Source organism: Homo sapiens, chromosome 3 (assembly GCF_000001405.40).
Source record: "Homo sapiens chromosome 3, GRCh38.p14 Primary Assembly".
NCBI classification, from domain to species: domain Eukaryota; kingdom Metazoa; phylum Chordata; class Mammalia; order Primates; family Hominidae; genus Homo; species Homo sapiens.
The window spans coordinates 94,063,409-94,090,678 of record NC_000003.12 but is presented as its reverse complement, the minus strand read 5'-3'; the positions used below and the strand labels follow the sequence as shown (position 1 = coordinate 94,090,678).

Here is a 27,270-nt window from a genome sequence, read left to right as displayed (position 1 = left end):
TTTAATATTATATCCTACATTTTTAGTTATTTTCTTAAGGGGGGTTGGTTAGGGTACCCAGTCTGTCACACCGCAGGAAACAGAAGTCTTCATCATTTCTATATCCCTTACCTCTATACACATACCATCCAATACCTTGCATTTAGTATGTGCATATTAAATGTAGATGACTTGATTGAAGCATGGCATTATAATAATGAATATTTAAATTATTACGACTGAAGATCAGGGCAGCTTTTCATTAAATTATATATAGTCTGAGTCAAGATTCTCAAGTCAGCATTTTAAAATAGCTTCCAGCAGAATTATTGCTTACACGTAGACTTTATTTGAAATGGTCTTAGGTTGGTTAAACTTTTTAAAAATATGAAATATAAAGTGTCACAATGCAAGTTTCATATATATACTAACACTTACTACATTGAGACAATTTTGTGCTTAAATTGTCAAAAACAACCAAATCTTAATTTTTTTTTTCATCTTAACAGGAAAAGGGGCATATTTAACAAATTCCTGAGGATTTAGCATTTGTACATGGCAATCTTTGGTCCAAAGAAAGAAACTGAAATTGGTAGTTTCATTCATTCATTTATTTTAGTAGACCTAACTTAAAAACAATAATCTTGCCTTCTTTCCAGTTTTTCCAATTATTTGGAGCCATAAGCTATAATTTATGATCATTTTCTATGTTCCTCTCAATATTATAATTGGAATAATGATACTGTCCTATGTACTAAAAGTGTTAGTGGGAGGTAAATCCATATGGGTCTGCAGCAACTTCAATTCTTGCCTCCTCAGAAGAAAGAATTAGACTGAGGGGCATAAGGCAGAAAAAGAGACCAAGCCAAGTTTAAGACCAAGAGTGGAAGTTTATTCAAAAGCTTTAGAGCAAGAAAGAAAGGACAGTTCACTTGGAAGAGACCCAAGCGAGTACTCTGGAGGTCAAGTGCCCCATTTAACCTTAATCCTATGACTTTATACACTGGCCCACTTCCGGTGTCTTGCACCCCTCTTCCTTCATTCTTCCTTAAGGGTGAGCTCCCCACATGCACAGTGCCCTCCTTACACTTGGAAGGTGAGCACGCACAGTGTGTTTAGAAACTTGTATGCATGCTCACCTGAGGCTTTCTTCCCTTTTCAGTGGAATGCCCCCAGAAGGTCACACTCTGCCATTTTGTCTCTTTATGCACATGCTTGAGCTCACTTGCCTAATTCCTGAGATTTTATTGGAAGCTGATTACCAATTTCAAATGTTTTTATCTGTTTGGGAAATTGCCTCTCCCTGGTGCCTGTGATGAATTATCACTTTAGTGTGACAACTGTGGAGCATCAGGAAATTGCCTCTCCCTGGCACTGGCTGCCAATTATCATTTTTAGAGAGGCAGTGTGATAACAGCTAAGTCATCGCCTGATGATTGCCTGACATTCCTGGTAGGTGGGGGTTAGCCCTCTCCTGCCCCACTCATGCCTGATTACCTGTAAAAAAAAGTGCTGCAAAGGATAATGGTAAGTTTCTTTAAACTTACCTGGAAGCAATGTTACAAATTCACAAAAGAACAAAATGGCAATGATTAATTTGTTAAAATGTTGTTGACATTAGATTAAAATTCACTTGAGAGTACAACCACTTTCAGATTCTGGTTTATTAAGGACTTGTTATGGACTAGGCCAGTGCTATTTGCTGCAGACACAAAGATAAATAATAATCTGGGCCAGGCGTGGGGGCTCATGCCTGTAATCCCAGCACTTTGGGAGGCCGAGGCCGGTGGATCGCCTGAGGTCAGGAGCTCGAGACCAGCCTGGCCAACGTGGTGAAACCCCATTTCTACTAAAGATACAAAAATTAGGTATGGTGGCATGTGCCTATAATCCCAGCTACTCGGGAGGTTGAGGCATGAGAATTGCTTGAACCAAGGAGGCAGAGACTGCAGTGACCCAAGATCACACCACTGCACCCCAGCCTAGGCGACAGAGAGAGACTCTATGTCTAAAAAAAAAAAAAAAAAAAGGATCTGTCCCTATGCTCCAGGACACTAACGGAGGATGCTACAGAAGTCAGCATTTGTGTATTACTGAGAGACCCTAGAATAGTCAATAGCACAACTACAACAATGAAAACTTGAGTTCAGATCCCAGCTCTGCCAGTTACCTTAGGCAATTTGGTACTTCTCCTTGTCTCAGATAACTCTTTAAAATGGGAATAATAATACCCAACTCACAGAGCTGGAGAGTTAAATAATGGTCATCAGTGATAGTCACAGTTCCTCAGAGCCCTAGGATTTTAGAAAGATTTATATATGAGGATATAACAAAAGTTGTTGGGAGAAAGTGAGAGAAAGAAAAAATAAATAAAAAACAAGATGTTGGAAGCAGAGACTACTAAAAAAAGTTTGAAAAGCAGAGGTTTAAGCAATGTGATTAACACAATCCTTAGCACATACAAAGTGTTACAAAATGGTTATTATTTTCATTCCCACAAAGAAGATGAACCTAATGCAGGGAGTTCAGAGAAGGCATTCCAGGAAAATTAAATCCTGAAGTATAATCTGAAGGATGAAAAGGAGCAGGGGAAGAGAAAGGAAAAAGAGACACCTGTAGAATGTGCAAAAAGGACTAGAGATGAAGAAGCAGGAAGGAGAGCAAAAGCAATTAAACCAAGAAAGGAGTCTTTTCAGTCTTCTCTACTAACCAGATATCAAAAAGTTATCACTATTGGGCTCAGTGGCTCACATCTGTAATCCCAGCATTTTGGGAGGTCAAGGCAGGCAGACTGCTTGAGCCCAGGAGTTCGAGGCCAGCCTGGGCAACATAGTGAAACCCCATCTCTACAAAAAATACAAAAATTAGCCAGGTTTGGTGGCATGTGCCCAGTCCCAGCTACCTGGGAGACCGAGGAGGGAGGATGACTTGAACCCAGGAAGTCAAGGCTGCAGTGAGCCAAGATCGCACCACTGCACTCCAGCCTGAGCAACAGAGCAAGACCTTGTCTCAAAAAACCAAAAAAGTTATCACTGACATCAAAGAGATTTTCATGCCTAGAGGGACATAGCCTTCAGCCAGAAAGTTGACTAAGACAATCTACCAAGCTGGGTCATCCTTAGTTAATATGCTAATGTTTTCCCATTTAGAATCCATATTGTTTGCTCTTTTTCTGCCAAGACCAGGACATTAAAAAGGCTATGTTGACAACAACCATGGTGAGTCCATCAATGTGGTAACAGGTGAGAGCAGCTGAACCAACAGAAAGTAGACTCTTTTTTTTAAATCATCCTAAAACATAAGCTTTGTAATCATTCAAAGCCATGAGCCTCTTGGCCCAGAATAAAGGTCAGTACTGATCTAAAGAAATTTGGTGTACAAATGCACATTTAGTGCAGCCATCATTTTACATTTTGCTTATAAAAGCTTTGATTAGTATTGCTTCTACATTCCAAATTCAAGCACTGTAGCTAACCTAACTTGGGCTTTAAGCATCAGCATGAAGACATCTGTACTTCTTAGTAAATCATTATCATTAGTCCTACTTAGATGAAAAGCTACTTTACTTGGAACACTGCCTGTAGTTCATTGCCCTTGATATAAGAACAGGAAGATTCTTCTCAACTTCAAACTGCTAGAATATATCAGTTTGCCTTTGGGTTCCTAATCAAATCAACTTTGCTACTATAAATGTGTAAAATATTTATAGCCTACTAATGAGGATAATTTAGAATTAAAATGCCCTCTCTTCAAAATGGTAACCAAATTTGACATTTCCCTTTCATCCTTTATAATACTAAAATTCCATATCCTGAATTAATTAGTATAAGCCTTTTAACTTATAAAAACAATGTCAAAGGACATAGAGTAGAAGTAAAAATAAGTGCTCCTTATAACATACAATTCCACAAAACTTCAGCTCAAATTATAAAAATAACGAGGTAAACTTGTAAAATAACATTTTTGCTGTGATTTCTTATTTTAAAATACAGCAAGCTTCAATAGCTGAGTTTTAACCAGAACTCTAAAACATTGGGCATATTTCCTCCTAAATATACAGTTAACTGATATATTTGTACCAATGCCTAGTACAACTGGATTCACGTTTCTCATAAAAGAATTTTAAATCTATTTCAACAGGGAATGCTCTCATATAAAAGTATAAAAGCAGTCTTCAAACTGGAACATACATGCCTTGGGGATACACACCAATGTTCTAAGGGACAGGAAGGCTTGGACAGTTTCAAAAGAATCCATTTTCAGATCATCAACTTCCTAAAGGAGGAGAACACTTCCAGTGGGGCATCTCCTTTCACAAGGTCCTTCACCAACTTTACAAATGACAAGCAAGCTTCCCACACATCTAGAATCTTATTATGGTAGAATGTGCCAGGGTATCGAAACCTCCAGAACATCAAACAAGGGCAGTTCAACACATCAGTGTTTTGGCTGAGGAAGTGAATAAGTCAGCCAGGCACAGTGGCTCACAGCACTTAGGGAGGCCCAGGTGGGCAGATCACTTGAGGTCAAGAGTTTGAGACCAGCCTGGCCAACATGGTGAAACCCCATCTCTATTAAAAATATAAAAATTAGCCAGGTATGGTGGTGGGCACCTGTAATCCCAGCTACTCGGGAGGCTGAGGCGGGAGAATCACTCGAACCTGGGAGGCAGAGGTTGGAGTGAGCTGATATCACGCCACTGCACTGCAGCCTGGGAGACACAGCGAGACTCCATCTCAAAAAAAAAAAAAAAGGCAACACTGCCTTTTGTAATTGAGATGGTGTCACGTCATTTGCTTTCAACAAAATTAAAAATGGACTTAAAGAGTGCTTACCTAATAGATCTTTAAAATAATGCTTGATGAAAGATCTGTATGTGATCTGAGGCTACAAATCAGGAGTGTGAAGAAACAGTAAAACAACTGTAACACAATTTTCTCTGGGACAGGATCTCACTCTGTTTCCCAGGCTGAAGTGGAGTGGTGCAATCTCAGCTCACTGTAATCTCTGCCTCCCAGGCTCAAGCAATCCTCCTACCTTAGCCTCCCGAGTAGCTGGGACTACAGACATGCACCACCATACCCAGGTAATTTTTTGAATCTTTTTGTACAGACAGGGTTTTCCCATGTTGCCCAGACTGGTCTAGAACTCCTGAGCTCAAGCGATCCGCCTGCCTTGGCTTCCCAAAGTGCTGGGATTACAGGCACGAGCCACCGCGCCCAGCCAACATTTCCATCTTCTTATCTGTGTGAACAGCACTGGCATCTATAAAAACAGAACCATCACACAAAAAACAGACAGAATTGATGCTGAACTCTGCCTCTTCTAGTAGTAGGTAATATTTATTCGGGGAAGCCTGTATCAGTTTTTTAAAAAAAGAATTAGCTTTAAAAGAAAAATTATTAAGAAAAAAATTGTAAATTTTGTAAATATTGTAAAAATTGTAAATGTTGACTTGTTACTTTTAACAAATATTTGTAAACCTGTGTATCACTTTGGTTCTAATAATAATATTAATGAAAAAGTCACTTGAAAAGACTTTTTGGATTGTCCAATACTATACCCTCTTCTCACATGTGGCTATGAACACCTGAAATGTGGCTAGTCTCAACTGAAATGTGATGTAACTGTAACGTAACCAATTTTAAAGACCTGTAAAAAAAAGAGAGAATGTAAAATATCTCATTATTTCTATTTTGATTACATATTGAAACAATATTTTGAATGTATTGGTTCAATGTATTATTCAAATTAATTTCACCTGCTTCTACTTTTTAAAATGGAACTACTTAAATATTTAAGGGTATATATATACTTCACATTATATTTCTACTGGAAAGAATTGCCTTGGAACCTTATAGTCTATTGACATCAAAAATTATTTTAAATGTATATGTTTTTGTTGCAGAAAAGTATGACAGGGATATCTACATAAGACTCTCAAGTATAAAGGTAAACAATAAAAAATACCTATCAGGCTTATCAGCATTCATATTATCTGACAGATTTGTATTTGCGAAATGTTGAAGTTTTGTTCCCAATCACCTGCTAGAATTAAATTGCTGAAAAAAATGTTATTTATACTGACTTCCTCAGCAAAAATTTCCATTCTTCTCCATAGCATCTCAGTTTTCAGGCTTCCTGAGTTTGCAAACTCAGTCTTACGTTTCTCCCCATATATACTTTCAGAATTCTCTATAACATACAGATATTAAAAAGTTGTCAAATACTGAAAGGAAAGCACACTACCTGGACAAGCACACTGCAGCAGAGCTATTGATTTCCCTCCAGGAGCAGCACAGAGATCCAGAACCTTCTCCCCATCCCTTAATTCCAGAGCCAACACTGGGAGAAGAGAAGCAGCATTTAGGAGATAATATTTTTTCAGGTTTCCAATTTGGTGTCTTTCTGAAGGGATTCGGCCCGGAGTTCTGCTAAGGTAACACTTCACTGATTTAGGATAGTTGGGTAAAGATCCCTGAGAGAGTGTGTGATAGCCCTTCAAATGTAAATCCTTTTCCAGTTCAAAAGGATAATTGAATCGGTTAAGCAGGACAGCATATTGCCAGCATGATGGAGATGTTAGTATCTCCCTAGAAATAGAAAAAGAGAAAATAAGAGAATATTAATATGATACATACCAATACAATTTTATATTACGAATCAGGTGAATGTGGTCCTAGTTTTACACTTCACTTACCTGTGATTTTAAGAGACAGGATCAGTATTCCTGACTCTTCCTTTTGCCTCATGAGCCTCTGACAGGACTGAATCCAGCATTGTTATGATCCTGTCTTTATTTTAAAAACTGGTATTTCGTTCACTGTGGCTTTTCAAAAACTAATTGTGATCACTGAAATATTACATTATTGAGGCAAGAGAATAGAGTCTGAAGACAAGGAACCTAAGGCCATTTCATACTGACTTCCGAGAACTAAATTGAAAGGAAAACCCTAACTTTCCATCATGCCTAAGTAACAAAAGAACCAGGCGCTACTCCCTTTGCAAACCCCCACATTTTCTGCATGGCAAATGGGAAATTGAAAGTACCTCTAATTTGTTGCTTTTTGCAACCAATCACACGCTTGCATAGAAGTGGAACTTTGTAACTTCACTTTAGTCTCTGGTTGCTGTCCATAACCAATCAGATATTTGCACAAGAGTGTAACCTTTGTAACTTCACTTCAGCCTCCGTTTGGTTGCTTTCCCCAACCAATCAGACTGATTGCGGGCCACCACATCATTTACATGAGGTAAGCACCAAGTGGCCAATGGAAAACCTCTAATGGGTGTTCGGACCCAAGAATATTCTGTATCTGGGGCCCTTGTGGCCATTCTCACACTGTGGAGTGTACTTTCAGTTTCAATAAATCTCTTCTGTTGTGGCATTCTTTCCTTGCTTTGCTGTGTGTTTTATCAGATTCTTTGTTCAAAACTCCAAGAACCTGGACAACTTGCAGTCAAGACCCTCTACTGTTAACATTATGATTACTGAGGTTTTTGAGGCTTAAATTCTGCACCAGAGAGGTATGCCTCAGCTTACACTCAGCTTAGTCCCTCCCTGCAGTACATCTTGGAAAAAAAAAAAAAAAAAGGCAGCCTGCCTTTAAATACCTCTAAGTCTGTCAAAATGAACCCATCACTCTTTGCACAAGGAAGTGTTTTTCTTAGAGACAATATTCAATTTCCTAGAGACTATTAATATTAGAGGGAAAAGTATTATCATAAAAGGGTGTTAGAGGGAATGAGTGTTTTCTTCTGATGAAGATAAAAGGTATGGAAAACTAACTACAGTGAACTCTACAGTAATGGAGTTAATGAGGCGATGAGTGGCTCAGATGATAAAAAACCAAGGATGATTTAAAAACCACTTATGGATTGATGGTGCAGGCTTTCCCCCAGCAGCTTTACCCTGTTAAATTTGCATTCGGTCCAAGAGTTCCATCTCTTAACAATCACAAACTCATATCAACTGACAGGTGATCCAGCAGGAAATATTTAATTTATTTACTAGCCGACCTTTCTAGCTGAGTTATTTGGGAGCCTCATTAACTATGGTCAATTAAATAAATTCCAGCTGCTACACACCCTGGAGTTGCCTATGTGAGGAATGGGTGGATTGAAATGTAACACCTGCGACTGGAAGCGTGCCATGTGAATTTCAATTTAGGGCTAATACGTGAAACTGCTTTCTCCTTTCACTGCCTCTTACTATGGATGGTGAGTCACAGGAGCCTGGCGTATCTGTTTCAGCTATTTTGGAGGATGACAACCTCTTTCCTTAAGAAAGAGGTTCGCAAACTTAAGTGTGCATCAAGGGTCTGTAAAACAGACTGCAGGGACCTAGCCAGAGTTTCTGATTCAGTAGGTCTGAAAGAGAGCCTGAAATTCGTAGCTCTAGCAAGTTTTCAGGTGATGCTGATGCTGCTGATCCCCAGGACCACACTTTGGGGGAGACTGCTTTAAAACTGATCCCAAAGGGAAATCTGCAAACGCCACTATTATAAGTCTTACGGCAGTTCATCCTAATCTTACCTCCAAACAGGCTGAAAAATCTATCCAGTGTTGAGTCATGTGTAATAAAAAAATGATCGGAAACACAGTTATACAGAAGGAGCGGCTTGGCTTGCATCATGTGCCTACCCATCAGCTAAAAAGGAGTAGAACACTTTCAATTAGTTAACATCAGACAGGACAAATCTCTATTCGTTCTTCTTTTTTTCTTCAGAATTTTCAAAGCTATCTTGAATGTTTATTCTTTCAGATGAACTTTGGAATAAAAGTTCAGTTAAACATAATTTATACAATATTTGTGTATGTAGACAGGTAGAGATATAGTAACCTTGCCTAGGATTATATTAAATGCTTTAAACTTGGAGATATTTCACATCTTTATTGCAGTCAATTTTTCCAATCCTGATCACAATATGTTTCTCCATTTATTCACATTTTCTTTCCTATCTCTTAGAAAGGTTAAATCCTGCATGTTTCCTTTTAAGCTTATTGTTTAAGAGGATTATTAATTCAGGAACAACATTAGCTTTTGTATATTATCCAATATGTTAAATCTTGAAGGATGAGAAGAAATTATCTGTAGGAAGAAATGAGAAAGGAAGTTTCAGGACAAAGCCAATACCACATGTACAAGCACACAGGAATGAGAAAGAACAGTGCATTTTAAAAATTAGTAGTCTGATGTGGATCATGGCAGAAGATTACCAAGTATAATATGATAAGGTTTTTGAATTTTAACTTCTAAGTGATGAGAAGCCATTAAAAAACTTTAGGGGGAGAGAGCCCCAATCAGATTTAAAGACATGTACTGAGGATTTTTGGCAAGATGGCCCAATAGGAACAGCTCCGGTCTGCAGCTCCCAGCAAGATCAACGCAGAAGGTGGGTGATTTCTGCATTTCCAACTGAGGGACCCGGTTCATCTCATTGGGACTGGTTGGACAGTAGGTGCAGCCCACAGAGGGCGAGCTGAAGCAGGGTGGGGCATCGCCTCATCAGGGAAGTGCAAGGGGTTGGGGAATTTTCTCCCCTACCCAAGGGAAGCCATGAGGGACTGAGCCTAAGGAACCATGCACTCCAGCCCAGATACCACGCTTTCCCCATGGTCTATGCAACCTGCAGGCCAGGAGATTCCCTTCGGTGCCTACCCCACCAGGGCCCTGGGTTTCAAGCACAAAATTGGGTGGCTCTTTAGGCAGACACCGAACTAGCTGCAGGAGTTTTCTTTTCCATACCCCAGTGGCGCCTGAAGCACCAGCGAGACAGAACAGTTCACTCCCCTGGAAAGGGGTGCTGAAGCCAGGAAGCCAAGTGGTCTTGCTCAGCAGGTCCCACCCCCATGGAGCCCAGCAAACTAAGATCCACTGGCTTGAAATTCTCACTGCCAGCACAGCAGCAGTCTCAGATCAACCTGGGATGCTGGAGCTTGGTGGAGGGAGGGGCGTCCGCCATTACTGAGGCTTGAGTAGGTGGTTTTACCCTCACAGTGTAAACAAAGCCATCAGGAAGTTTGAACTGGGCGGAGCCCACTGCAGCTCACCAAGGCTGCTGTGGCCAGACTGTCAGATTTTTCCTCTCTGGGCAGGGCATCTCTGAAAAAAAGGCAGCAGCTTCAGTAAGGGACTTATAGATAAAACCCCCTCTCCCTGGGACAGAGCACCTGGGGAAAGGGGCGGCTGTGGGCACAGCTTCAGCCGACTTAAACGTCCCTGCCTGATGGCTCTGAAGAGAGCAGCGGACCTCCCAGCACAGTGTCTGAGCTCTGCTAAGGGTCAGACTGCCTCCTCAAGTGGGTATCTGACCGCTGTGTATCCTGACTGGGACACACCTCCCAGTAGGGGCTGACAGACACCTCATACAGGAGAGCTCTGGCTGACATCTGGCAAGTGCCCCTCTGGGACAAAACAGGACAGAACACGCAACAATCTTTGCTGTTCTGCAGCCTCCGCTGGTGATACCCAGGCAAACAAGGTCTGGAGTGGACCTCCAGCAAACTCCAGCAGACCTGCAGCAGAGGGGCCCAACTGTTAGAAGGAAAACTAACAAACAGAAAGGAATAGCACATCCACTCAAAGACCCCACCAGCCAAAGGTCACCAACATCAAAGACCAAAGGGGATATATCCACAAAGATGGGGAGAAACCAGTGCAAAAAGGCTGAAAATTCCAAAAACCAGAATGCCTCTTCTCCTCCAAAGGATCACAACTCCTCGCCGGCAAGGGAACAAAACTGGATGGAGAATGAGTTTGACAAACTGACAGAAGTAGGCTTCAGAAGGTGGGTTATAACAAACTCTTCCAAGCTAAAGGAGCATATTCTAACCCAATGCAAGGAAGCTAAGAACCTTGAAAAAAGTTTAGACAAATTGCTAACTAGAATAACCAGTTTAGAGAAGAACATAAATGACCTGATGGAGCTGAAAAACACAGCACGAGAACTTCGTGAAGCATACACAAGTATCAATAGCTGAATCGATCAAGCAGAAGAAAAGATATGAGAGACTGAAGATCAATTTAATGAAATAAAGTGAGAAGACAAGTTTAGAGAAAAAAGAGTAAAAAGGAATGAACGAAGCCTCCAAGAAATATGGGACTATGTGAAAAGACCAAATCTACATTTGATTGGTGTACCTGAAAGTGACAGGGAGAATGAAACAAGTTGGAAAACAGTCTTCAAGCTATCATCCAGGAGAACTTCCCCAACCTAGCAAGGCAGGCCAAAATTCAAATTGAGGAAATACAGAGACCACCACAAAGATACTCCTCGAGAAGAGCAAACCCAAGGCACATAATTGTCAGATTACCAAGGTTGAAATGAAGGAAAAAATGTTAAGGGCAGCCAGAGAGAAAGGTTGGGTCACCCACAAAGGGAAGCGCATCAGACTAACAGTGGATCTCTCGGCAGAAATTGTACAAGCCAGAAGAGAGTGGGGGCCAATATTCAACATTCTTAAAGAAAAGAATTCTCAACCCAGAGCTTCATATCCAGCCAAAGTAAGCTTCATAAGCGAAGGAGAAATAAAATCCTTTACAGGCAAGTAAATGCTGAGAGATTTTGTTACCACCAGGCCTGCCTTACAAGAGCTCCTGAAGGAAGCACTAAACATGGAGAGGAACAACCAGTACCAGCCACTGCAAAAACATACCAAATTGTAAAGACCATCGACACTATGAAGAAACTGCATCAACTAACGGACAAAATAAACAGCTAGCATCATAGTGACAGGATCAAATTCACACATAACGATATTACCTTTAAACAGGCTAAATGCACCAATTAAAAGACACAGACTGGCAAATTGGATAAAGAGTCAAGACCCAGCAGTGTGCTGTATTCAGGAGACCCATCTCGCATGCAGAGACACACATAGGTTCAAAATAAAGGGATGGAGGAATATTTGCCAAGCAAATGGAAAGCAAAAATAAGCAGGAGTTCCAATCCTAATCTCTGATAAAACAGACTTTAAACCAACAAAGATCAAAATAGACAAGGGCACTACATAATGGTAAAGGGATCAATGCAACAAGAAGAGCTAACTATCCTAAATATATATGCACCCAACACAGGAGCATCCAGATTCATGAAGCAAGTTCTTAGAGACCTACAAAGAGACTTAGACTCCCACACAATAATAGTGGGAGACTTTAACACCCCGCTGTCAATATTAGACAGATCAATGAGACAGAAAATTAACAAGGATATTCAGGACTTGAACTCAGCTCTGGACCAAGCAGACCTAATAGACATCTACAGAACTCTCCACCCAAAATCAACAGAATATACATTATTCTCAGCATCTCATCACACTTATTCTAAAACTGACCACATAATTGGAAGTAAACTCCTCAGCAAATGTAAAAGAATGGAAATCATAACAAACAGTCTCTCAGAACACAGTGAAATCAAATTAGAACTCAGGATTAAGAAACTCACTCAAAACCGCACAACTACACAGAAACTGAACAACCTGCTCCTGAATGACTACTGGGTAAATAATGAAATGCAGGCAGAAATAAAGATGTTCTTTGAAACCAATGAGAACAAAGACACAACATACCAGAATCTCTGGGACCCATTTAAAGCAGTGTGTAAAGGGAGATTTACAGCACTAAATGCTCACAAGAGAAAGCAGGAAAGATCTAAAATTGACAACCTAACATCAAAATTAAAAGAACTAGAGAAGCAACAGCAAACAAATTCAAAAGCTAGCAGAAGACAAGAAATAACTAAGATCAGAGCAGAACTGAAGGTGATAGAGACATGAAAATCCCTTCAAAAAAATCAATGAATCCAGGAGCTGGTTTTTTGAAAAGATCAACAAAATAGATAGACTGCTAGCCAGACTAATAAAGAAGAAAAGAGAGAAGAATCAAATAGACGCAATAAAAAATAATATAGGGGATATCACCAGTGATCCCACAGAAATACAAACTACCATCAGAGAATACTATAAACACCTCTATGCAAATGAAATAGAAAATCTAGAAGAAATGAATAAATTCCTGGACACATACAACCTCCCAAGTCTAAACCAGGAAGAAGTCGAATCCCTGAATAGACCAATAACAAGTTCTGAAATTGAGGCAGTAATTAATAGCCTACCAACCAAAAAAAGTCCAGGACCAGATGAATTCACAGCCGAATTCTACCAAACGTACAAAGAGGAGCTAGTGCCATTCCTTCTGAAACTATTCCAAACAATAGAAAAAGAGGGAATCCTCCCTAACTCATTTTATGAGGCCAGCATAATCTTGACACAAAAACCTGGCAGAGACACAACAAAAAAAATTAAATTTCAGGCCAATATCCCTGATGAACATCAATGCAAAAATCCTCAAAAAAATACTGGCAAACCAAATCCAGTAGCACATCAATAAGCTTATCCACCACGATGTCAACTTCATACCTGGGATGCAAGACTGGTTCAACATATGCAAATCAATCCGGCCTGCAGCCTCCCTGCCCCTCCTGCAACACCCGACTCCAGTATTCCCCTGGCTCGCCTGGCCTCCATGACTGACAAGGAAGCAGCCTTTGATGACGCAGTGGAAGAATGAGTGATCCATAAGGAGTACAAAATATGGAAAAAGAACACCCCTTTTCTTTATGATTTGGTGATGACGCAGGCTCTGGAGTGGCCCAGCCTAACTGCCCAGTGGCTTCCAGGTGTAACCAGACCAGAAGGGAAAGATTTCAGCATTCATCGACTTGTCCTGGGTACACACACACATTGGATGAACAAAAACATCTTGTTATAGCCAGTGTGCAACTCCCTAATGATGATGCTCATTTTGATGCATCACACTACGACAGTGAGAAAGGAGAATTTGGAGGTTTTGGTTCAGTTAGTGGAAAAATTGAAATAGAAATCAAGATCAACCATGAAGGAGAAGTAAACAGGGCCCGTTATATGCCCCAGAATCCTTGTATTATCACAACAAAGACTCCTTCCAGTGATGTTCTTATCTTGGACTATACAAAACATCCTAAACCAGATCTTTCTGGAGACTGCAACTCAGACTTGCGTCTCCATGGACATCAGAAAAAAGGCTATGGGCTTTCTTGGCCAAATCTCAGTGGGCACTTACTTAGTGCTTCAGATGATCACACCATCTACCCGTGGGACATCAGTGCTGTTCCAAAGGAGGGAAATGTGGTGGATGCAAAGACCATCTTTACAGGGCATACAGTAGTAGTAGAAGATGTTTCCTGGCATCTGTTCCATAAGTCTCTGTTTGGGTCAGTTGCTGATCATCAGAAACTTATGATTTGGGATACTTGTTCAAACAATACTTCCAAACCAAGCCACTCAGTTGACGCTCACACTGCTGAAGTGAACTGCCTTTCAATCCTTATAGTGAGTTCATTCTTGCCACAGGATCAGCTGACAAGACTGTTGCCTTGTGGGATCTGAGAAATCTGAAACTTATGTTGCATTCCTCTGAGTCACATGGATGAAATATTCCAGGTTCAGTAGTCACCTCACAGTGAGACTATTTTGGCTTCCAGTGGTACTGATCGCAGACTGAATGTCTAGGATTTAAGTAAAATTGGAGAGGAACAATCCCCAGAAGATGCAGAAGACGGGTCACCAGAGTTGTTGTTTATTCATGGTGGTCACACTGCCAAGATATCTGATTTCTCCTGGAATCCCAATGAACCTTGGGTGATTTGTTCTGTATCAGAAGACAATATCATGCAAGTGTGGCAAATGGCAGAGAACATTTATAATGATGAAGACCCTGAAGGAATATGGATCCAGAAGGACAAGGGTCCTAGATACGTCTTTACTTCTTGTGATTTTAGACTCCCCTTTTTTTCTTCTCAACCCTGAGAGTGATTTAACACTGGTTATGAGACAGACTTTGTTCAGGTATCCCTCTATATAATAGGTACCACCAATAATGCTATTAGCCCAAACAGTGGGTGTTTTCTAAATATTATTGGGGGGGGGGGCTTGATTCAGCAAAGCCACAGACTTACGTTGAAATTTTCTTCAGGAATTTTCTAGTAACAAACCCTGGTCTAAAGTAGCTACAGAAATGAAAATATCATGTGTGATTATTTTTCTTCTTATGCTATATCGCCAAGTTTTTCAGACTCATTTAAGTAAAGGCTAGAGTGAGTAAGGAATAGAGCCAAATGAGGTAGGTGTCTGAGCCATGAAGTATAAATACAGAAAGATGTCACTTTTATTCAGGAAATAGGGAAGATTCAAGTCATATAGATTCCTACCTGAAAATCCTGACACCTGACTTTCCAGGATGCACATTTACATAAGTAGACCAGTTTCTTCTTGGTTTGTTCAGTTAAGTCAAAACTACATGTTCCTCTTTCCCCATATATTTTTGCTCATTAGTGTATTTCTTGAGCTGTTTTCATGTTGTTTCTTTCCTGTCTGTGAAATGGTGTGGCTTTTTTTTGTTTGTTTGTTTGTTTGCTTTTAACTTGAGACCACCAAGTTGTAAAGATGTATGTTTTTACCTGACAGTTATACCACAGGTAGACTGTCAAATTGAGAAGACTGAATCAATAACTTGTATTTGTTTTAAAAATTAAATTAATCCTTGAAAAAAAATAAAAGTAATCCATCACATAAACAGACCCAATGACAAAAACCACATGATTATCTCAATAGATGCAGAAAAGACCTTGACAAATTTCAACACCCCTTTATGCTAAAAACTCTCAATAAACTAGGTATCGATGGATCATATCTCAAAATAATAAGAGCTATTTATGACAAACTCACAGCCAATAGCATACTGAATGGGCAAAAACTGGAAGCATTCCTTCTGAAAACCAGCACAAGACAAGAATGCCCTCTCTCACTACTCCTATTCAACACAGTATTGGAATTTCTAGCCAGGGCAATCAGGCACGAGAAGGAAATAAAGGGTATTCAAATAGGAAGAGAGGAAGTCAAATTGTCTCTGTTTGCAGATGACATGATTGTATATTTAGAAAGCCCCATCGTCTCAGCCCAAAATCTCCTTAAGCTAATAAGCAACTTCAGCAAAATCTCAAGGAACAAAATCAATGTGCAAAAATCACAAGCATTCCTATATACCAATAACAGACAAACAGACAGCCAAATCATGAGTGAACTCCCATCCACAATTGCTACTAAGAGAATAAAATACCTGGGAATACAACTTACAAGGGATGTGAAGGACCTCTTCAAGGAGAACTACAAACCACTGCTCGAGGAAATAAGAGAGGACACAAACAAATGGAAAATACTTCCATGCTCATGGATAAGAAGAATCAATACAGTGAAAATGGCCATACTGCCCAGAGTAACTTATAGATTCAATGCTATCCCCATCCAGCTACCATTGACTTTCTTCACAGAATTGGAAAAACAAAATACTTTAAACTTCATATGGAATCAAAAAAGAACCCACATAGCCAAGACAATCCTAAGGAAAAAGAACAAAGCTGGAGGCATCATGCTACCTGACTTCAAACTATACTACAAGGCTACAGTAACCAAAACGGCATGGAACTGGTACCAAAACAGATATATACAACCAATGGAACAGAACAGAGCCCTCAGAAATAATACCACACATCTACAACTATCTGATCTTTGGCAAACCTGACAAAAACAAGAAATGGGGAAAGGATTCCCTATTTAATAAATGGTGCTGGGAAAACTGGCTAGCCATATGCAGAAAACTGAAACTGGACCCCTTCCTTACACCTTATATGAAAATTAGCTGAAGATGGATTAAAGACTTAAACATAAGACCTAAAACCATAAAAATCCTAGAAGAAAACCTAGGCAATACCATTCAGGACATAGGCATGGGCAAAGACTTCATGTCTAAAACACCAAAAGCAACGGCAGCAAAAGCCAAAATTGACAAATGGGATCTAATTAAACGAAAGAGCTTCTGCACAGTAAAAGAAACTACCATCAGAGTGAACAGGCAACCTACAGAATGGGAGAAAATTTTTGCAATCTATCCAACTGACAAAGGGCTAATATCCAGAATCTACAAAGAATTTAAACAAATTTACGAGAAAAAAACAACCTCATCAAAAAGTGAGCAAAGGATATGAACAGACACTTCTCAAAAGAAGACATTTATGCAGCCAACAAACATATGAAAAAATGCTCATCATCACTGGTCATTAGAGAAATACAAATCAAAACCACAATGAAATACCATCTCACACCAGTTAGAATCATGATCATTAAAAAGTCAGGAAACAACAGATGCTGGAGAGGATGTGGAGAAACAGGAACACTTTTACACTGTTGGTGGGAGTGTAAATTAGTTCAACCATTGTGGAAGACAGTGTGGCGATTGGTCAAGGATCTAGAACTAGAAATACCATTTGACCCAGCAATCCCATTACTGGGTATATACCCAAAGGATTATAAATCCTTCTACTATAAGGACACATGCACACATATGTTTATTGCAGCACTATTCACAAGAGCAAAGACTTGTTACAAACCCAAATGTCCATCAATGATAGACTGGATAAAGAAAATGTGTCACATATACCCCATGAAATACTATGCAGCCATATAAAAGGATGAGTTCACGTCCTTCGCGGGGACATGGATGAAGCTGGAAACCATCATTCTCAGCAAACTATCACAGAACAGAAAATTAAACACTGCATGTTCTCACTCATCAGTGGGAGGTGAACAATGAGAACACATGGACACAGGGAGGGGAACATCACACATCAGGGCCTGTCGGGTGGTGAGGGGCTGGGGGACAGATAGCATTAGGAGAAATACCTAATGTAGGTGATGGGTTGATGGGTGCAGCAAACCACCATGGCATGGGTATACCTATGTAAGAAAACTGCACATTCTGCACATGTACCTCAGAACTTAAAGTATAATAATAAAAAAAAAAGAGAAGAACTTATTGCAGACTGAGGCAGAACTCTTCAGAAATTACTCTATCTCATTCTTTAGTGACTAGACAAAATAAGGCCTAAATAGAACAAACGAAATTTTTGATCTTTCATGATCTACACCCAACCCTACTGAACTATACAGATTTCTTCTAACAAGTTTCTTTAAAATTTACTGATCTCCACATGCCCGGCCCCCAACCTCCCTGAATAACCTTTCCTCTCTCACCTATCTGTTCTCAACTTAGGGAGTTTTCTCTCTCCAACGAAGTCTTTCCACTTACCACCCGGTTCACATCCTCCACCATACTCTGATATCATTATTAATAAATGTTACTGACTGGATGTGTACAATGTTCATTTTGCATGTTTATATCATAGAACCATCACAACAACCTTGAGAGAGGCAGCTCTTACTCCTATTTTAGAGGTTAACTGAGGCTTTTAGAGATTTTGGCAACTTACCTGAGGTCACATTGCTAGTACGCAGAAGTATCTGATTCAAAATCAGACTGACTTTAAAGTCTAACAGAAGTGATTCCCAACGTGTGAGACCCTGGTACTACAGCACAGAGCTACAAAAGGGGGCAAGAAAGAGAATTTTACCCCAACCCTCACTTAGTGCAAGTGGCCATGACCTCCCTGAAACCCTCTTCTGTCTAACAATGAAATCAGCTTGCCACATCCTGCCTATAGAAGCAGCTGCAACAGACCAACTCTTGAAGGGACTGCTAAGGCTGCTCAGGCTGGTGCTTCCTAGCCCTGAGAAAGCAAAGCTGTGTATTAATATGATTCTTACAGTTCCCCTTGCACACACCTGCCACTGACCTCCATTCTCCTCCCCACAACACACACACATACAACCCCTCCTGTGCCTGCACTGGGTGGGTTGCTAACCTGGGGCTGGAGGGAAAGTGGCTTCCGAATCCAAAGCTTTTATGGATGGGCAAGTAGCTTAGCAGGCAGTAGAGGGAATGTATGTTAGATGACTCTAGAAAACAGCGGCCAGGTGCCACACTCCAGGCCTTTTCCCAAGATTCACAGTTAGTCTGAAGCGGCTCCATTTACTGGTCTTCCAGGTGAGAAGAAGTGCAAGTACCTCAGTAGCCAGCAGAACTGGAGACATACAAGGTCAGTGACCTGCAAATTTGCTAGTGCACCACTGATATCATTTTGAAAAAAAACACATTTTAAGTTGACATTAAAATCTCACCATATGTTTAAAGGATGCAATTTCCAGCATACTGTAAAAATTGACATTTTAAAATACAAATTATACTGCCTTTAGTATGTGCCCAGTGGAAACTAAATATCATAATGATTTTGATACCCATCATCATCCATTTAAAAATTCATAGACTGACTCATCTTTAACAGGTGGAAATTTTATGCTGCTCGTTTTCCTCTTTTATTTACATTCTACTTCATATAACTTCATCTTAATATATTTTCATGCTTGAAATCTTTTTATCACCCTATCATGCTTCTCTAGCCCCCACATATACACATGTGTATGTACTAAATTTGTTTTTCCTGTGGTCTTAAATCTCTAAGTGTTAAAATGGTAACTTCTGGATTCAGGGATCAATAATATTATTAGTACAAAACCGATCAAAACAACTTATAAAAGTAAAAATTGGTAAGAAATGGATACTTAATGAAATGAGCTTTTGTTTCCATATATCCATAAATGAATATTACTTCTTACTATAATAAAATCAGTCAGGATTCAACATCATTTTTATGCCTATTTTGTGTTTTTTATAAAAGCTGAGAAAAACCTTCAGTTAAATAAGTGGATGAGAATTAAATATATTTTGTTATAGCAATGTTTCTTACTTTGAATTCTTTTGGAGTTATATCCCCAAATCACTTAGCAACCTATCATCAAAAATGTCTTAAATGAATTGATAGCTGACATCTCAATCAAGGCTCCTTTACTTTTGTTGAAAGCAAAACTTGGAAACCACCTGACTTGTCAGAGAATCTGTTAGTCATTTGCTTTCTCACACTGACACTCCAATAGTTTCTGGCATATGGAGGTTTTGAATACCTGGAGGAACATAGCATAGAAGCCAGAATGGTGCAAGTGTGCCTTTCTTTTTGTGAAAAGGGTGAAGGGAAATTGGAGAAAGGCAGGTTGGGAAAGGAGAATATGTGCCCCCTTATGTACAGAGGGGCAGAGTAATTTTCTGAAAGAGAATACATGAAAGTTGAGGATGTGAAAACTGACTGCGGTCACTTGCCTGAGCCTACATACCCCCTTGAAAAGTCTTTCTATTTCTCACTCATTGTTGCTCCTCCCTCCAACATGCTAAGTCTGTTTTGTCTTCTTTTTTTTAGAGACAAGGTCTCACTCTGTCACCCAGGCTGGCGTACAGCTGTGCGATCATGGCTCAGTGAAGCCTCGACCTCCTGGACTCAAGCGATCCTCCTACCTCAGTCTCCCAAGTAGTTGCGCCTACAGGCACGCACCACCACACCCAGCTAATTGCTTATTTTTTCTAGAGATGAGGTCTTGCTATATTGCCCATGCTGGTCTTGAACTCTTGTCCTCAAGCAATCTTCCCGCCCTCAAGCAAATCTCCTGCCTTGGCCTCCCAAAGTGCTGGAATTACAGGTGTGAGCCATCGTATATTATCTTCTTGTCAACATTCATTCATTCTCTAAAAATACACCGTCTGTCAACTATAGGCTAGGCACATCTATTTACTGATAATGATATAAAATAAGCTTAAATTCCTAAGAAACAAAAGAAAAATAAATTCCTAAGAAACAAAAGAAAAATTCCTAAGAAACAAAAGAAAAATATTAAAACTGACCAAAAAAAAATTAAGTAAAACTAGACAGATGGTACACAAGAATAACTGAATTTTGAGAAACAGTTAATGAAGCTAAACTAATATATCACACTGTGTGTCACCCTGCCTGCTTACCCATTTCCCTAACTCATTTATATGGGAGCCTTGACTTATTTTTCTCCTTGGCTAAGTGCCTGGGGCCTAAATCCTGGAGTAAATGAATAAAATTGGAGTTCTGATTCAAGGCTCTCTGAACTACTTACTATTTTAACAAAATTAAAGCATTAAAAAATTAAAAGCTAGTTAAGTTAAAATTTTGCAAAACTGTATAATGTATCATTTCGATAATGTTTATTATTTGATAGTATAATTTTCATTCAACTTTTCTGTGACTTTATTCTTTTTTCCTACTACTCTACTCTCCACCCTACCTTCCGTCCTAGTGACGAAGATGAAAAATATCATTTAATCTAGAAATTGTTAAACACAATTAATATAACCCTGTAGATTACAGAACCTATTTAAATTTCCATAGCTAAAAAAGAGAAATTCCTTGATTTAGTGCTATTATTATCCACTAGAGGGTGCTCATTCAACTCTTTTAAAAGTTAGAAATGAAAAACAAATCAATTTATGGAAATGCACCAAAGTATGTTTTTGAGTCATTTTATTTTTACTCCTCAGAGATGCTAACGAAGAGCTGATGGCTTCCTATTCTATTTTGGCAATGGATCTTCCTTGTATCTCACAGAAGGGCAATTTATGTCCAGATTTGTTATTCACTGTACCTCAGATAGGAAATCCTTTGCGTTTCTGGTGGAACATCAAAAGGCTAAAAATCCTGAACATAAGAGTCCTTCATACTACGGGATCTGAGCATACATTTGGAAGGATGCAACTCTGGACCCTTCACAGCAGCACAGATGGTATAGGAAAAGGCGTGGACTTTTAAGTCACAGGACTGAATTTGCCACAACTACAAGATACCTATCAATTGTTCTAACCTCTGACTTTAAAGTGTCTAAAAGTTACTTCTTCACAGAGATTTGCACAGATTAAGGCTGAAAATGTGTGTAAAGCCAACATATAGGACAATATAGAAATCTAGATACTGGTTCATTTCTCTCTTTCTTAACCACCTCAGTCTACATCCTTCACAGATTATGGTAATATTATCAGGTTGTGTGTGTGTATGTGTGTGTGTGTGTGTGTGTGTATTTTTTTTTCCTCTCTGTATGTGAACTCTCGGTCAGTGAGGAGAGTGTCCAAAAAAAAAAAGATGTTGCAGACAGTTCAGACTTATATGGTCTGTTTGTTTTGCTTTCTATAAAGTACATGTAAAATTTCCACAGTTAATAAATATTTCTAATTAATGCTTATATTAATCATACATTTATTAAGTATCCATTAATTATCCAATTAATCATACATGTATTTGAGGGCAGGATATATACAGTCCATTTTTGTATTCTCAGTGCTTAGCACAATGCCTAGTACACAAACACTGACAAAACTGGGAATAAGCAGAAGACTTGCCCAAGTCTCAAGGTATTGGTTCTTCAAAACCCTCCCTTGTCAGGAAAAAGATAAGCAAGTTAGTAAATTATGACGATAAAACCTTGAAAGAATCACAATAGCTCTATCAACAAAATGCAATGGATACACGAAGGGCAAAACTAATTTTGCCAAGGGACATACAGAAGGCTTGATGAAGTGGTTAATCATAGTAACAAAAATAATGCTAATGCATATGAAGTCCTTACTATACGTCAAACAACATTCCATTCACATTGTATATACACAAATTCATTTTATCTTCCCAAATGATTATATGAAATAGATACTATTTTTTCCCCATTTTACAGACGAGGACAATGGAGCACAGAGATATTAACTCACCTAGGTCATATGCTACAAGATGCAGAGGTGGGATTTGAACCCACACTACTGCACAGAGGGAGAAGGGAAAAAGGCATTCCTAGCAGAAGAACAGCATAGCCAGTCCCAAAGGCATGAAGGAGCCTGCCCAGAAAGATAAGATTTTTAGTCCAAACATAATACTGCAGACTTCTGGGGAGCAAAGGTTTGTACTCAAGGTGTGACACAATGGAATTTGGTAGCACCGAGAAACAGCATGACAGAGTGGGTACAACAAACTCTCAAGGCTCTTCAAAGTGTTAGATGTGTATACTTGGGCAAGTTAAAGTGTGAGATGTGTATACTTGGGCAAGTTACTTAACCTCTGTGTGCCTCAGCTTTCCTATATATAAATGGAAATAACTATTTCAGAGGGTTGTACATAGGATTGTTATTATTCATAAAGTGATTACAACATTGACTGGTACATAGTGCCATAAAAGTGGTTGCTAAAATAAGCAAACAGGTAAGTACTAAACATGGCTGTTGCAATATGCCAGATAAGAGATTGGGAAGGTCTAAGTGAATGGCAGCAGTAGAGAATTTTTTTAAAAAGATCCAAATTAAAAGGGGGCAGGGTAGTTGAGTCTCAAAGACAACTCTCACTTCTGACACCAATTACAAGTTCAGGGATTCCAAGGATGACTCTCAGGTTTGATTATTCACTGGGACACAACCGAACTCACTGAAAGCTGTTATAATCACAGTTATAGTCACAGTTTATTATAATGAAAGCATACAGATTAAAAACAATCACAGGAAGAGACTCATAGTGCAGAATTCACAACAATTCAAAGCATGAAGCTTCCAGCTGTCCTCTCCAACGGAATCATCAACGAGGTCAACTTTTGCTGGCAGTAATGTATGACAGTATGCACAAGAGTATTGCCAACCAGGGACACTCACCAAAGCCTTGGTATCCACTTTTTATTGGGGCTTGGTCACGTATATATGATTGACTGTCCATACAGCTTTTAGTCACAAGCCCTTCTGGATGTTGAGTTGACACCTGTGGTCCCCAGGCCTCAACATAAATCACATCGTTAGATTATCAGGTGTGACCTCAACACCCAGGTAAACAAAGACACACTTATCAGGAAGCACATTCCAAGGGCTTAGAGATCGCCTCCCAGGAGCTGAGGGCAGTTGCCAGACCTATTTTTATATAAGGTTCATTTTTTACTACAAAGGTAGTGAAGGTATAGAGAAGAAAGGAGGAAACCAGACTGATGGTGATACACTTAATTGAGATAAAATATGCAGGTAGCAAAGGCAACATAAGTTTGAAAGGGAAAAATAATAATACACTTTTGAGTTTGCCAAGTAACTGAAGTTGCTAAAAAACAGAAGTATGGGACTAAATCTTAGGAAGAACCTCACAGCTTGAGATGACAGCATACTGATAAAAGTCATGCCATGAATGGGCTTACCTGAGGAGAACATGGAGGCAACAAATAGAGCAAGAATTGAACCAGGGTAAACTCCAATTTTAAAGGGCTGCTCAGAGGATGACTAGACAAGAAAGGTTACTAAAAAAGAGCAAAACTAAATACTAAATCTTCCTCACTACTACAGGAAACTAAAAATATTGAATAAATTACTTTCTAAATAGGCCAAAAAAAGAGCACTTGACTTTCCCTGGAAGTAGACTCTACAAGTACATTATGTCTTGCAAACAAGCAGTTAAAACACAAAATATTTCATTCTGTTCTTATTTCCCCATACCATCTTCCATGCTCAGACTACTTCCTAAGCTGAGAAACCTTTATTTTGCCTATGGCAAATTTAGTGTGTGTTTATGCAAAACTTAAATTACCACAAAAACCCCACAATAGGGTAAATGAAGCAGAAGGCACAGCTAATTAAATGGATTTGAGGTTCATTGCTCATTTTGCTCAGGGTCAAATAATAGTATATGACTTTCTGAGTACACTAAGTAGAAAAATAAGTCATTATAGGATATGAGTAGCCAGACTGCTACAAAGTCTACAGAAAAAAAAAAAGCCTCTTGAAATCTTTTTTTTTTTTAAATCACATCCCAGATATGAGACAGTACAGAACAAGGATGAGCTGTGGGAGTTATTGAGTCAGACAACCCAGGCACAAGCCTCAGCTCTGCCACTTATTAGCTGAGTGAACTTGGGCAAATTACTTAAACTCTTAACGGGTTTGTTCTGAGGATCATGTAAGTCAGTATTGTCTGGCATATAGTAAACATGCAATAAGTGTTTGGTTATTTGGATACTCTATTTGAGTACCTTTGTATACTGAAAACCTCATAAATTTATTACATACTTTATTATTCAGTTCTTCATCTCTGTGACAGAAAATACCCATTTGAAAATCTACTTTTGAAATAAAACCCACGAGTATAAACGGTTTGCATATTACAGCATTTACCAATTTCTATAACAGCTTAATTGTCCTAAAATTATCTCAGAATCACCTCAGACTTTGTGATCTTTATTAGCCAAAACTTAATTTGTTTTAGAAAATGCTCAGAACTGCCCTTTGTAAAGGAGAAATGCTTAAGAGTTGATCCAAGAAAAAAATGGACAAGCCAACCATCTGAAAAATTAGTCTGGACCAAGTTCCAGATAATATCTGTAGCCATGCAACTTTTTTTCCTCATGCAACATGTAGTGGGCTTTTGCCCTAACTTCATGAACAGTGCACCTTCTTCCCTCAACCTAGGAGGCCTAGTTCTTTTTGTCAAAGTAACTCCTCTAAGTCACCAAGACCCAGCTTCCCTTCAGGCCTTTGCTGGCACCCTCAGGCTTTGTTAGATACTTGGATCACAGTATTTACAAATTAGTTTATATAGTTGTAACCACACCCATCTCCTCACTTCTCCCATTAACACTAACTAGACGGCATGTAAACTGGACATGCAGACTGTCTTGCTCTGTATTCCAGAGAGGGTTATATAGTGTATCAGGCACTCAATGTCAAGAACCCATACAGTAATCCATACATTAACATCATCTTACCAAACAGACAAATCACATTTCTCCCACTTCCATGCATTAAACATTCCTTATTTTTATATTTAAATAATTTTGTGTGTATATGCACGTGTTCAAAATATACCCAGCCATCGACATAGGAAAGAAATATGATTACCAAATAAAGTGTACCTTTGGCTGAGATAAAGCAGTGCTGGCTTTAAAGATTTGTTGTATTATCTTCTAAATTTCAGAAATCAGTCAAATATTCCAAATTTTATGTTTTTTTCTTTTACAGTATAATTAATTTTGTCAAACTAGTGGGCATTCCTATTTCAAGGATCAAAGTAATTGCTCAAAGCAAAGGCGTAACAATTTGTGCTTACCATCCCGACAAAGTTTTATTTCCCCTTTCCAACATGCTATGATTCATTCTATTTCTTCTTAGTTGTTCCTTTCTATAGCTTCAGTAGGAAAAGGCAACCAGATTTAGATTCCTTTGCCTTTTAACCTCACAGCATCCCTCCCACAAAAAGGAGGACTACATATTGTACTTTGTTCCATCATAAAGCATCGAGATGAATTATACTAACCTTACTGTATTCCAGGCATCTCCGAGTTCTTTGGAATACTGTTTTTCAAAATGATCCAACACAACTTTGCAAATCTGTTTTGCAAGCTTCCCCTCTGATTTTGCTTTCAGCTATGACGATAAGAAAAAGTTGCTGACACACAGTGATATTACAAATTTACTGAACGTCAACATTAGCAAGGTCTTTTTTTAAGACAAGAACACTTTTTTTGGATAATTACTAGTTCTTGAAATGGAAGCAATACCTTACATGTACCAAAACTGTACATTATCTAATTATGAAAAAGCAAGGTTTTTCCAAATAATTATTTTCCAAATGTGAAGCAAAGGTTAAAACAGAATCTACTGGGGCTGAAGAAACTGTCAAAAGGAACAAAATTAATTTTAAAAAGTCACTGTAGGGGCTAGGCAGGTGGCTCACACCTGTAATCCCAGCACTGTGGGAGGCAGAGGCGGGAGGATCACATGAGGTCTGGAGTTCAAGACCAGGTTGGCCAACACGGGAAACCCGTCTCTACTAAAAATACAAAAATTAGCCGAGAGTAGTGGTGGGCGCCTGTAACCCCACCTACTCAGGGGGCTGAGGTGGGAGAATCGCTTGAACTCAGGAGGTGGAGGTTGCAGTGAGCCGAGATCGCGCCACTGTACTCCAGCTGGCTCATGCTTTGCAGGGACGAGGCGAGAGGATCATTTCCCAGTTCAAGACCAGACTGGAAAACATATCAAGGACGTGTCTCTACAAAAAGTAAAAAAAAAAAAAAAATTAGCCAGGCGTAGTGGCCTGCTCCTGTAGTCCTAGCTACTAGGGAGGCTGAGGCTGGAGGATCGCTTGAACCCAGGAGTTCAAGGTTACAGTGAGCTATGATGGAGCAGCTGCATTCCAGATTGGGTGACAGAGCAAGAACTTGTATCTAAACAAAACTAAAAAGTCACCGGGGATGCTGACATCAAGAAAAATTGGTGAAAGGTATTTGAGAACTCTGTACTATCTTTGCAACGTTATTTTAAAGTGAAAAGTTAATTTAGGGAGAAAAGTCACTCCAATTTCATCGTGAACTTCCTTGCAATTGTTTCATTTATTCATCCAAGAAACGTGTATTCAATGCCTACTATGTAACAGACACTGTTCTAAGCTCCCG

General features: G+C 39.3%; 1 protein-coding gene and 1 pseudogene across 2 annotated transcripts in view; one reads left to right on the top strand and one right to left on the bottom strand.

The window, feature by feature from the left end:
- NSUN3 (NOP2/Sun RNA methyltransferase 3) overlaps window positions 1-27,270 on the bottom strand; it is a 68,772-nt gene that overhangs the window by 41,154 nt on the left and 348 nt on the right. For both annotated transcript variants that reach the window (NM_022072.5, XM_047448684.1), the window contains exons 2-3: window positions 26,133-26,242; window positions 6,229-6,572 (exon numbers count right to left, since the gene is read on the bottom strand). In NM_022072.5, the coding sequence (NP_071355.1) occupies window positions 6,229-6,572; window positions 26,133-26,242 (454 nt within the window). The remainder of the gene's footprint in view (window positions 1-6,228; window positions 6,573-26,132; window positions 26,243-27,270) is intronic.
- RBBP4P2 (RBBP4 pseudogene 2) lies at window positions 13,442-14,968 on the top strand (annotated as a pseudogene).